The sequence below is a fragment of the Homo sapiens genome, chromosome 11, assembly GCF_000001405.40.
Source record: "Homo sapiens chromosome 11, GRCh38.p14 Primary Assembly".
Lineage (NCBI taxonomy): Eukaryota > Metazoa > Chordata > Mammalia > Primates > Hominidae > Homo > Homo sapiens.
Window position 1 is genome coordinate 1,433,266 of NC_000011.10, and position 12,420 is coordinate 1,445,685.

The following is a 12,420-nucleotide window of genomic DNA, read 5'->3' on the forward strand; positions in this document are numbered from 1 at the left end:
CTGGGAATGCTGTCCCGGTGCCCTTGGGGGCTTTGACCACAGCCTCCCTCCTGCTTCACCCCTGCACCCTCATGATGCCCTGGGGCAGGGTGTGGGCCCTTCATCCTTTGGGGTCTCCTGAGGGTGCCTCATGCTGGGCATTTCTGGGTCATTTCCTCCCTCCTTTGAGAGCCTCTGTCTTGGCCTCCGGCTGCATCCTCCCAGGAGTTTGTCCTGAGGGTTTTTAGGGGCTCCATGCCCTTCGGACCAGAGGCTTTTGTCACGGACCACGCCTTAGCCTTGCAGCCAGGTTTGGGGGACATTGAGCTCTTGCTCCTTTCCGTGTGTGGGGCTGAGTCCTTCCTGCAGGGACCCCTGCCCCGGGATGCAGGCCAGCCTCGTGCCTGGGGAGGGATGCGCTGTGGGCGCCTCCAGCCGCCCTGGATTATGGATGAAGGGCTCTAGGCCCTCCTGAGTGCTCCTCCGGCTGAGCGAATCACAAGCCTTGTGCTGGATCAAAGGCCTTCAGGGAGAAGCAGCTCTTCCTCCATGAGCACACCCTGCCGAGGCCACCCCCCACCCCTGGCACTGGGCTCCCCTCTGTGCCCAGCCTGTGTCACTGCCCGGCCTGCAGCTCCCCCTGCCTCTGGGGAAGCCCGCTTCTTCGGCAAGGTCCTGGGTCCCCCACCCGGCCTGGGCTCACCCAGATCCAGGCGTGACGCCACACAGATGAAACTGACGGAAAGGGCAAAATAAAGCTAAAAGCCGATGGGGCCGGGGGAATGGAGGTTTGACGCGTGAGACAAAGGATTAATTTCCCAAAAAAATCAAAGGGCTCTTGCAAATTGGTAAGAAAATGCACACATGTGCGTGCACCAGGATAAAAACGAGAACAGGAAAGGAGCCCAGAGCACACCCACACGGTCAGTAAACACCGGTGACGTCCCGCGGGTCAACAGGGCGAGGCCGAGTCTGGGTGAAATTTGAGCACAGCGCGTGCACGGAAGGATGGCGGCCACTAAAGCCCAGTGGGAATGCCAGCCAGGATCTGGGTGTCTGGGCGCACCTAGGAGTGGGGTCCCCTGTGATAACCTGGGCCGGCTCTGCGTGTCTGGGGGCACCTAGGAGTGGGGTCCCCTGTGATAATATGGGCCGGCTCTGCGTGTCTGGGGGCACCTAGGAGTGGGGTCCCCTGTGATAATATGGGCCAGGATCTGCGTGTCTGGGGGCACCTAGGAGTGGGGTCCCCTGTGATAACCTGGGCCGGCTCTGGGTGTCGGCGCACCCAGGAGTGGGGTCCCCTGTGATAACCTGGGCCGGCTCTGGGTGTCTGGGGGCACCCAGGAGTGGGGTCCCCTGTGATAACCTGGGCCGGCTCTGGGTGTCTGGGGGCACCCAGGAGTGGGGTCCTCTGTGATAACCTGGGCCGGCTCTGGGTGTCTGGGGGCACCTAGGAGTGGGGTCCCCGTGATAACCTGGGCCGGCTCTGGGTGTCTGGGCGCACCTAGGATTGGGGTCCCCTGTGATAACCTGATCCCCCCATGGTTCCAACATGCCCCAACATGGAATGGCACATGAGTGCGCCTGAGGACCTTTGATGGTAGGAAAGGGCCTGGGTTGTGGGCTCCTGGGGGCATCTCCAGTGTCAAGGCCACAGCTCAGGCCAGGTGGGGCTCAGGGGTGTGGCCGGGCTGTCCTGGGCAGGGGCAAGTATCTGGCTGTGAAAAGAGTGGGGAGAGGAGAAAGGGAGGGTGGGCCGAGGCGCGGAGGGGGACCGGGACCGTGTGCCCAGCCAAGGCACATTCCCAGAGCACCCTGCCTGCCTTTTAGGTGGGTCTGGGAAGGAAGGGGCTGCCGGGCCGTGGAGGTCTAGGGCAGTGCTGCCTGGGGAGCTACCTGGGGCCCGTCCTGGTGTCCTGGGGTGAACACAGGGCCGGGGCTCAGGTGCAGAGCATCTCAGCAGAGGAGGGGTGCCGGTGGGGGTCTCAGCGGAGGAGGGGTGCCGGTGGGGGTCTCGGCGGAGGAGGGGTGCCGGTGGGGGTCTCGGCGGAGGAGGGGTGCCGGTGGGGGTCTCGGCGGAGGAGGGGTGCCGGTGGGGGTCTCGGCGGAGGAGGGGTGCCGGTGGGGGTCTCGGCGGAGGAGGGGTGCCGGTGGGGGTCTCGGCGGAGGAGGGGTGCCGGTGGGGGTCTCGGCGGAGGAGGGGTGCCGGTGGGGGTCTCGGCGGAGGAGGGGTGCCGGTGGGGGTCTCGGCGGAGGAGGGGTGCCGGTGGGGGTCTCGGCGGAGGAGGGGTGCCGGTGGGGGTCTCGGCGGAGGAGGGGTGCCGGTGGGGGTCTCGGCGGAGGAGGGGTGTCGGTGGGGGTCTCGGCGGAGGGCTGCGGCTGAGGTATCTCTGCAGAAGGCTGCAGGTGGGGGTCTCGGCAGGGTGTGCGGGGGACAGCCTTCTTGGGCCAGGCAGGCACCTCGAGGGCACCCTGGCTCCCAGCTGAGGGTGGCTGAAGGCTGAAGGGAGGGGATTTGGGTGCCTTGGGATGGGGAGAGGGCGAGGGGGGCCACAGAGACCTGAGAAGCCCAAAGGGCCGGCGTGGAGGGAAGACACAGCTTTGCAGGGGCAGCGTGACGCCAGCACTGAGCTGTTCTGGACAGCGACCCAGGCGGGCAGGGGCCTCCGGCCCTGGAGCGGGTGGGACCCCTGCTGTCCAGGACGTGGGAGGAGGCCCCCAACCTGCACTGTCCGGCTGGGTGCTCGCTGCAGGCACCCTGGGTGGGTCTGAGCGCGGCTGCTTCTCTCCCGCAGGTCTGGTGAAGCTGGGGGTTCACTGCGTCACCTGCCAGAAGGTGGCCATCAAGATCGTCAACCGTGAGAAGCTCAGCGAGTCGGTGCTGATGAAGGTGGGTGGGGCCGGGGAGGGAGGCGGGGCCGGCGGTGGGGTGGGGCGGGGAATAGCACAGGGGTGGGAGCCAAGGTTGTGGGGACCTGCGGTGCTGGATGCGGGTGGGGGGGCGGGCCCTGCAGGCTCCTGGGCCGCCACACCCCTGCTGGTCCCCTGGTAGGGTGCCTTTGCTCTTGCTCCTCCCTCCAGCCCTGCCCACCTTTCTCCTGCCTCCAAGCAGAGTGGGCACCCCTGAGGGGACAGGCTGCAGCTGGGCAGTTCAGTTGCTGCAGGACCTGCTGTGCTAGCAGGCGGGGCTTCAGTGTTCCCAGCTAGAATGGAGAGGAGTTCCCTGCCTCAGAGCACCCCTCTCCTACCAGGGCACAGCTTGGCAGAGGGGAGCTGCACCTTCCTCTTCCACTGGGGCCTGGCCTCCGTCGGCTCCATCCGGTGGTGTCTGGTCACCATGGAGACCAGGCAGGCCCCCTGGGTGGAGGGTTTCTGGGCTGTGACCCACCTCTCAGTGGGGAGGGGGCGGCCCCGGCTGCTGGGAAGCCTGACCCTGGGTGTAGAGGAAGAGGCTGGGGCTCCCAGCTGCTCCGGGTCCCACCCACAGTGGGACCTGGGCTGGCAGCGTGCGACCCTCCCAGCACTGGGGCCAGTCGAGCCCCCTCCTCTCCCTTCCTCTCCATTCGCTCCTTGGCATGCAGGGCTGCGGGTGGGGCAGGACCCGGGGACGAGGCCAGTGGGAGTGGCCAAGAGAGGGGAGGCTTGTGGAAGGTGCTAAGGGTTGGGGACTGTGACATGTTGGGCACCCCCCAGCTGCTGGGGTGTGGAGGAATTAACCAGACTAAACTGGGGAGGCCTGGGGACCCTATGGGGAGGTGGGGGTGGGGTTAAGGGCTGCTGAGGGCTGCCTGGATGGGGCTGGCAGGGTCCCACCCTGCCTTGGAGGAGAAACAGAGGCCCTGGGAGTGATGGGGCCAGGACAGCGCCTGGCAGAGAGATCCAGTGCGGGGCGTAGCTGGGGAGAGTCCCATGCTGAATTTGGGAGGTGCCTGTGAGCCCCGACTAAAGGAGGGCCTGGGGATGCGGGAAAGGGGAGGTGTCCCTGTCACCTGCAGGCGCTGTGCACAGATGTCCGCCTGGGAGGGAAGGACTTGGGGACAGGCTGGCCAACTCGCCAGGGCTGGGACCCCATCACAAGACTGGCCCTAGCTCCAAAGCCTGGTCCACGCTGGCTCCTGAGGGCTGGGACCCCAGGCCGTGGCCTCACTGGCCCCACCACTGACACGGCCACTTCTTTGTGCTGGGCGGAGCACCAGCTGCCCGTGGCCAGGCTTGCATGTCTGAGGGAGGGGGCCCTGCCCTTACCTCGGAGCAGGACTGGGTGTCCTGAGTCAGGTGCCCTCTGGGGTCACTTCTGCCCCTCCCTGGGGCCCTCCCCACTTGGGGGACAGTACCAGCTGGGAGCCTGTGGATGGGGGGCACGTGCCCTGCCCACGGCCTGCACACCTACTGTATGTCCCACACACAACAGGATGCCTGCCCCCACCTCATGGGGCCCACAGAGGCCTGTCCCGGCCCCTCCTCCTGTGAGGCCTCCACCGTAAGGAAGGGCGGAGCCCAGGCACAGCCTGCCTGGAAGGGCCCTGCATCCGACTGGCTGGGAGCCTGGGAGGCCTTATCTCCAACAGCTCCAGGCCCCATTCCTGAGGCTGGGCTCACAGAGAGGCCCAGGCTGCCTGCCTTCCTGGGCAGTGTGGGGAGGGGCCCTCCTGCTCCAGGGGCCCCCAGTCCTCAGCCCTACAGGCTGGTGTCAGCCCGGCGGCCTGGGCTCCCTCCACTGAGGCCCCTGCCCTCTGCCCTCTCCACCAGCCAGGGCCCCAGCTGAGCAGCCCACGTCCCTGCATCCCCCACAGCTGGCACCAAAGGCCCCTGCGTCCCCCACAGCTGGCACCAAAGGCCCCTGCGTCCCCCACAGCTGGCACCAAAGGCCCCTGCGTCCCCCACAGCTGGCACCAAAGGCCCCTGCGTCCCCCACAGCTGGCACCAAAGGCCCCTGCGACCCCCACAGCTGGCACCAAAGGCCCCTGCGACCCCCACAGCTGGCACCAAAGGCAGTGTCTGTGGGGAGCGATGCGTGCCCCAGCCCTGTGAGCGTGATGTTCTCTGGCCTCTCCCATGCAGGTGGAGCGGGAGATCGCGATCCTGAAGCTCATTGAGCACCCCCACGTCCTAAAGCTGCACGACGTTTATGAAAACAAAAAATATTTGTAGGTATTGCTGGGTCTGAAGAGCTGGGGTGGCGGAGGTGGCAGCTGTCGCTGCAGGGGTGGGTGTCTGGGGCTTGGGGAGCACAGGGGCTGGAGGCCAGGGGCGCCTGCTGCATCCCAGCAGCCCTGGCCCTGCTAGCATGAACACCTGCCTGGGTAGGGTCTCAGCCCAGGCTGCTGTGGTCTCTGCTTCTGGACCAAACCGGAGACCTGGTCTGTGGAGGCTCGCAGAGCCACCAGCCTGAGGCTGGCAAGGGGGAACAGGACCTTCTGGAGGGGAGATAGGAGTTTCAGGGCAAGGGGCAGGAGCACCTGGCCCTCCCCACATGGCCACGCTGAGCCTCCTGGCCTCTGCCCAGGACGTCCCCAGCCCTGGGCAGTGAGCCATGTCTCTATCCCTGAGGCTCCCTCACACGAGGCACAGCCACCAGGATCCCGCCCTGGCTGGACCGTGGCTGAGTGTGGCTGAAAGTGTCACCTCCGCAGCCGCTGAGGCCAGCAGAAATCCCTACCCTGTCCCAGGCATGCCTGGCTGTGAACCCCATCCCCCCAGACCCAGCCTCAGGGAGCTCCTGGGAATGGGCACAGTGGTCACTCACGGCAGTCTCCTCTGTGTGCTCTGATGGGGCTTTCTGACAGATGAGGCGCTGCTGCCCAAGGGCTGTCTGGCCTTGAGCCTCATCTGACCCTCGCTGGTCCCAGGGCGGCGGCGTGACCTGCCAGGTGATCCTAGCCGGGCATCTCTGAGGCATCAGGCTCTGAGGGAGCAGGGAACATACAGGGCTGGGCTGGGGGCTGCCCTCAGGGTGAGCTGGCTGAGGGCCTGGCTGAACCCAGCAGCTCCCCTTCCCCCAGCAGCAACGTCCACGCTTGCTCTGGCCTGGGTTTCTGCATTCTCGTGGGGAGCATGTGCAGGTGGCCAGCTCGTGTGTAGCTGGGGAGAGGAAACCCAGGGTTGGGGTGTGGGGAGCCCGCCTGCCCCACCATGAGCAGGGGCTCAGAAACTGTCACCAGAGGACTGGGGGGGCGGGGGTGGTCCTGGCCCTGATGCTGGCAAGGTGGACTGTGACAAGGGGCATGGCTTCCTCATGGTGACACGGTGCCGGTGCAGTGGGGTCCTGGGGAGGCCTTCTCGGAGGGGAGGGCAGGGGAGTGCGGGGGGGATGGGCACAGCAGGCCAAGGCCCAAGAACAGGAAAGAGCCCAGGAGGTGGGCATGGCCGGGCTCGCGGCTTCTCCCGAGGTCTGGCCCTGGGTGTTGTCCCACCCCCTCTGGACACCATGTGGCCTATGCTGAGCCTTGGGCCTGGCCGCCCCCCTGCCCAGAATCCCACCCTGGCCCCCACCACCTTCCCCTGCCCTGAGGGCTTCACACCTTCCTCTGCCCTGAGGGCTTCACACCTTCCCCTGCCCTGGGGGCTTCACACCCTCCCCTGCCCTGAGGGCTTCACACCTTCCCCTGCCCTGGGGGCTTCATATCTTCCCCTGCCCTGGGGGCTTCACACCTTCCCCTGCCCTGGGGGCTTCACCACAACCTCTGCTCCCATCCCCACACTGGGCCCTTGACTCCTGCCAAAACCAGCTCCTGGGACAGCCAGTCATCCCAGTCCGCACGGCAGCTCTGAGCATGCACCAAGGTGCCACCCCCTTGGCTGTACAGCCCCCCTACATCACCACAGCCACACCAGGGGCCACCACCCTCACAGGCCTCCCCCCCGAGCTGGTTCAGCCTGGGTGGAGCGGCCCCCAAGCAGCTGCATGCAGCGTCCCACGGGCCTCTCACCAGGAACCAGCCCCTCAGGACCCTCCATGTGGCTGAGACCCCACGGGGGCGGTGCTGGGAGCCCACCAGGGCAGGAAGGGGAGGGCCAGGCCAACCTTTTCCTCACCCCCTTCCCCTGGCCCTCACACCTCCTGTTCCCCCCACAGAGGCCCAGACAGTCCCTGGGCCCCTGGATGCGGCTGCGTGGTCTCCCTGCTCGGTGCCTGTGCCACTGAGGACCACAGGGTGTGAGGGCCAGAGCAGGCAGGGCAGAGTCCCGAGGCTACCCCATGCACCGAGCCTTGGCCCCAGCACCCGCCACACTCAGCCTGTGGGTTCCAAACCCTCCCTGGCGGCTGTGCCCCCAGAACCATCCCTTCACCTGTCCCTCCACCCTCACCCCACCCCACCCCAACCCAGGCTCCTTGAAGACTCATTTGAGGTCCACCCCCAGGAGCCCAGATGGTTTGAGATCCACCATAGTCAGGGCTCCTCTCAGCTGCCCCCCCAGCCAGCAAGAGGATGGGGGCGGCCTGCAGAGAGGCTGGGCCAGGAGGCGGCTGTGGGAGGCCCTGGGATGAGGAGGGGCGGCGGGCAGCCACAGCTGGGCGCACTGGTGGCCCCGTCTCCTGCAGGTACCTGGTGCTAGAACACGTGTCAGGTGGTGAGCTCTTCGACTACCTGGTGAAGAAGGGGAGGCTGACGCCTAAGGAGGCTCGGAAGTTCTTCCGGCAGATCATCTCTGCGCTGGACTTCTGCCACAGCCACTCCATATGGTGAGGCCCCACCCCTGGTGCCCCCCACTCCCCAGGGACCCCCACACCCAGTGCGCTACCACAGATGCCCCCTGTGCCCCAAGGACTACACCCCCTATGGTGCTATTCCGAGGTACACCATGCCCCCCATTAGCTGCCCCTCAAGTGCACCATCTCCTCCTCCCCATTAGCTGCCCCTCAAGTGCACTGTCCCCTCCATTAGCTACCCCTCAAGTGCACCGTCCCCCCATTAGCTGCCCCTCAAGTGCACCGTCCCCCCATAGCGGCCCCTCAAGTGCACCATCCCCCCCATTAACTACCCCTCAAGTGCACCGTCCCCCCCATTAGCGGCCCCTCAAGTGCACCCTCCCCCCCATTAGCTGCCCCTCAAGTGCACCATCCCCCCCATTAACTACCCCTCAAGTGCACCATCCCCCCCATTAGCGGCCCCTCAAGTGCACCGTGCCCCCCATTAGCTGCCCCTCAAGTGCACTGTCCCCCCATAGTGGCCCCTCAGGTGCACCGTCCCCCCCATTAGCTACTCCTCAAGTGCACCATCCCCTCCCCCCCATTAGCTACCCCTCAAGTGCACCGTCCACCCCATTAGCTACCCCTCAAGTGCACCGTCCACCCCATTAGCTACCCCTCAAGTGCACCGTCCCCCCATTAGCTACCCCTCAAGTGCACCATCCCCCTCATTAGCTACCCCTCAGGTGCATCATCCCCTCCTCATTAGCTGCCCCTCAAGTGCACCATCCCCCCCATTAGCTGCCCCTCAAGTGCACTGTCCCCCCATAGTGGCCCCTCAGGTGCACCGTCCCCCCCATTAGCTACTCCTCAAGTGCACCATCCCCTCCCCCCCATTAGCTACCCCTCAAGTGCACCGTCCACCCCATTAGCTACCCCTCAAGTGCACCGTCCACCCCATTAGCTACCCCTCAAGTGCACCGTCCCCCCATTAGCTACCCCTCAAGTGCACCATCCCCCTCATTAGCTACCCCTCAGGTGCATCATCCCCTCCTCATTAGCTGCCCCTCAAGTGCACCGTCCCCCCCATTAGCTACCCCTCAAGTGCACTGTCCCCCCCACCCCATTAGCTACCTCTCAAGTGCACCATGTGCACCAGGTGCTTCCCTTTTCCCCCTGAGGACCCCCTGCACCTCCCCTTTCCCGAGTGGGCAGTGTGTCGGGAAGTTTTCTGCCTGGCACCCACCCAAGCACTCTGGGAGCCCCTCGGCCTTTCCAGGGGCCATTGCTTGCATCCCTACGTGCCTGGGGGCCCTAGGTTGGTCTAGGCCAGAGCAGGTGTGCTAGGGAGCAGGAGGGGGCAGGAAGGAGCCTGCCAGGGTGCAGGAGGGCATGGCAGGAGAAACAGGGATGCCTGACCAAAGGCCAGAGCCAAACGGACCAGGCAGGCGACTTCTGATTGGCTGCCTATGACATCACCAGGCTGGGCTGCTATTGGCCCTTATGTGTGATTGGCGTTTGGAGAGGCAGTGGGCTCTGGGCAGGGGGTCTCCAGGGCGGGGAGGCGCTCAAGGCAGAGACTGGCCCTGTTCAGCCTCACCACCCTCCTCCCCAGCCACAGGGATCTGAAACCTGAAAACCTCCTGCTGGACGAGAAGAACAACATCCGCATCGCAGACTTTGGCATGGCGTCCCTGCAGGTTGGCGACAGCCTGTTGGAGACCAGCTGTGGGTACGTGGCCCTCTGCCCTGGAGAGAGGCTGGGGGACAGGCTGGGCTGGGGGAAGAGGAGCCAGTGGACTGAGAGGCCCCCAGCCTGCCTGAGCCTCCCGGCACCCCACAGGCAGGCCCCCCACAATGTGCCTGAGCCTCCCAGTACCCCACAGCCTGGTGGTGGTGGGGAGACAGGCCTCCCGGCACAGTAAGGGTAGGGGTACAGCCCTGGCCCTGGCCTGCCTGGGAGAGAGGCTGGGACCCACTTACATGCCCCTCTCCTGGGGACCCCCTGGCCCCTGCCCAGCCGAGTGGGCAGACAGCTTTGGGCGCAGCAGAGACCCAGTGCCCCACCTTGATCTCCTCCCAAAAGCCCGCCTGGGGATGCAGGGAATGTGGGGGCGTCTGGCACCACAGCCCTGGAGGCCTCCTTGAGGGCCCTGCGGTGCACCATCACCCTGGGGGGAGGGCCTGGCAGCGCCCGGAGCCCCGCCGCTGACCTCTGCCCTTGCCCGCAGGTCCCCCCACTACGCCTGCCCCGAGGTGATCCGGGTGAGTCAGCGCCGCCGCGTGCAGCTCTGTGGGGCCCAGGGTGGCGGGGACCTGACCCTGGTGGGACCCCAGCCTGCCGCACCCCCAGGTGCTGCTAGGCTGCCTGTCCCCGGGCCGACTCCCTCTGAGCCCAGGCCCTCCAAGGCCCCCGCCCTGCCCTGCGCCCCCCAACAGCCCGGGCACTGCTGTCCACAGGGGGAGAAGTATGACGGCCGGAAGGCGGACGTGTGGAGCTGCGGCGTCATCCTGTTCGCCTTGCTGGTGGTGAGACCCTGGCCCCCTCAACCCTGCCCTGGCCTCTCCCCAAACCTGCCCCCCCACGCTGACCCCCACACCCGGCCGCCCGCAGGGGGCTCTGCCCTTCGACGATGACAACTTGCGACAGCTGCTGGAGAAGGTGAAGCGGGGCGTGTTCCACATGCCGCACTTTATCCCGCCCGACTGCCAGAGTCTGCTACGGGGCATGATCGAGGTGGACGCCGCACGCCGCCTCACGGTGCGTGCCCTCGGAGCGGGGCGGCCCCAGAGCGTGGCGGGGGGGCGCGGGGGCGGGCGTGTGCCTGTGTGTGCACAGGTGTGTGCCCAGACGTGTGGGCACCCAGGTGTGTGGGTCGGTGCCCAGGTGTGTGGACGTGTGCACAGGTGTCGGCTTGTGTTCAGGTGTGGGTGACCAAATGTGGGCCCATGGCCGTGTGTGGGTGCCCAGGTGAGTGTTCAAGTGTGTGTGCGCACCCAGGTGTGGGAGTGCCCAGGCGTGTGTGGGCTCGTGTTCAGGTGTGTGGGTGCACAAATGTAGGCACATGCCCAGGTGTGTGTTCAAGGGTGTGGGGGTACCCAGGCACATGCCCAGGTTCATGTGATTGGGTGAGGGCGTAGGTGTGGGCATGTGCACGTGTGGGGAGGTGTGTCCAGGTGCTTATGAGCACTTGTACCAGTGTGGGGTGTGCACAGGTGTGGGGGGCTGTGTGCACATGTAGGTGAGACCTGGCTATAAGTTACACAAAAGCACTGGTGCTTCCCCATCACGGCCATCCTGCCTCCAGACGCTGCTGGGGCAAGCTCCAGGCAGCGTGAATAGTTCTGCTGAGTGCCCCCAGCAGCTGTGGGGGCTAGCAAGAGCCAAAGGTAGCCCCCAGCTGCTGGTCCTGACCTCCTCCAGGGCTGCCTGGTGTGGGGACCGCACGTGTCCACTTGACAGAAGCAGGTCACACTCTGGGCTGACCCTTCCAGGGTAGCGTTGACCTGTTCCCAAGTGGCCACTGCCTCACACCCCACGAGCTGTCCCTGAGTCAGGGTGGAGAGAAGGGGCCGTGTGGCTGGCCGGCCCTCCCAGCCTCCTGCCTGCACCTGCACCCAGCCCTGCCCCGCCGCACAGGTGGGCCGGGTTCTTCTGGCTTCAGCTCCCTCCTGGCTGCTCCCTGCTCTCCTGCCTTGGTTCCTTCCTAGAGCCACGGAGGGGCCCAGCCCAGGCAGCACAGGCACCTGGGGCTGCCCTGGCTCCAGCTTCCCTCCCTCCCCCTCTCCCTCCGCTCCCCAGGCCCCTGCCCCTACCTGGAGCACCCCCTCCGACTCCAGCTCCCCCGACTTCTCTCCTCCTTGAGGTGTGTGTTTTCTTCTCCACTTGGGAGAGGCAGGAGCAGGGGTGCTGGCCTTGAGCCTCTGGGAACGCAGCCCCCTCCCTATCTTCCTCCCCACCTTCCCCCCACTCACTTGCCCTCACCCTCTCCTGCTCTCTCCGTGCTCCCAGCGCCCCTGCCTTCCCCCTCACCTCCTAATGTGGGCTCTTTCCGTCCCTCGTCCGTACTAACTCCCTGTTTCTCTTTCCTTGTAGCTAGAGCACATTCAGAAACACATATGGTATATGTAAGTAGCTTTTCCACCCACTAATCGCCTGCTTTGCCTGTTGCTGTGGCCTGGAGGCCCTGCTAGGAAAGGCGGGGGGAGGGCGCCGGCCCAGCGCAGGTCCTGCCCTGCCTTGGCCCTCCGTGGCCTGCGCTGGGTGCGGGGTGCGGGCAGGACGCAGGAGGCCTCCCCGGGCTGGGCACAGGGAGAGTGGCAGGATGAAGGGCCCCAGGTGAGGGCGGGCGTCCCACCCTCGCAGCCGCCCAGGCCCGGCCGGAGCTGATGAGCGGGTGGCCCGTCCTGTGTCCACAGAGGGGGCAAGAATGAGCCCGAACCAGAGCAGCCCATTCCTCGCAAGGTGCAGATCCGCTCGCTGCCCAGCCTGGAGGACATCGACCCCGACGTGCTGGACAGCATGCACTCACTGGGCTGCTTCCGAGACCGCAACAAGCTGCTGCAGGACCTGCTGTCCGAGGAGTGCGTCTGGGGCTGCTCCCGGGTGGGGCACGGGGCCTGAGGTGGGAGCGCTGCCCCGGAGGAGCCGGCGGCCCCGTGTGCCAGCGCGTCTCGCGCCTCTCGCCCGCTGTAGGGAGAACCAGGAGAAGATGATTTACTTCCTCCTCCTGGACCGGAAAGAAAGGTACCCGAGCCAGGAGGATGAGGACCTGCCCCCCCGGAACGAGATAGGTATGGGTCCAGGGGTG

General features: G+C 66.1%; 1 protein-coding gene across 29 annotated transcripts in view, besides 1 other annotated feature; it reads left to right on the forward strand.

The window, feature by feature from the left end:
* BRSK2 (BR serine/threonine kinase 2) overlaps positions 1-12,420 on the forward strand; it is a 72,756-nt gene that overhangs the window by 43,332 nt on the left and 17,004 nt on the right. For all 29 annotated transcript variants that reach the window (NR_046331.2, XM_017018533.2, NM_001440665.1 and 26 more), the window contains exons 2-11: positions 2,775-2,869; positions 5,041-5,126; positions 7,523-7,663; positions 9,225-9,341; positions 9,841-9,874; positions 10,070-10,138; positions 10,224-10,370; positions 11,706-11,737; positions 12,029-12,193; positions 12,306-12,403. Coding sequence is in view for 28 of the 29 variants with exons in the window: in XM_017018533.2 (XP_016874022.1) it covers positions 2,775-2,869; positions 5,041-5,126; positions 7,523-7,663; positions 9,225-9,341; positions 9,841-9,874; positions 10,070-10,138; positions 10,224-10,370; positions 11,706-11,737; positions 12,029-12,193; positions 12,306-12,403 (984 nt within the window). In the remaining variant the exon portion in view is untranslated. The remainder of the gene's footprint in view (positions 1-2,774; positions 2,870-5,040; positions 5,127-7,522; positions 7,664-9,224; positions 9,342-9,840; positions 9,875-10,069; positions 10,139-10,223; positions 10,371-11,705; positions 11,738-12,028; positions 12,194-12,305; positions 12,404-12,420) is intronic.
* Positions 3,583-4,321: an enhancer, noted in NCBI's record as "H3K27ac-H3K4me1 hESC enhancer chr11:1458078-1458816 (GRCh37/hg19 assembly coordinates)". NCBI's record gives its function as "activates a minimal SCP1, AML or CMV promoter by ChIP-STARR-seq in naive H9 embryonic stem cells {active_cell/tissue: H9 hESC(naive)}" and the evidence as "EXISTENCE:reporter gene assay evidence [ECO:0000049][PMID:30033119]".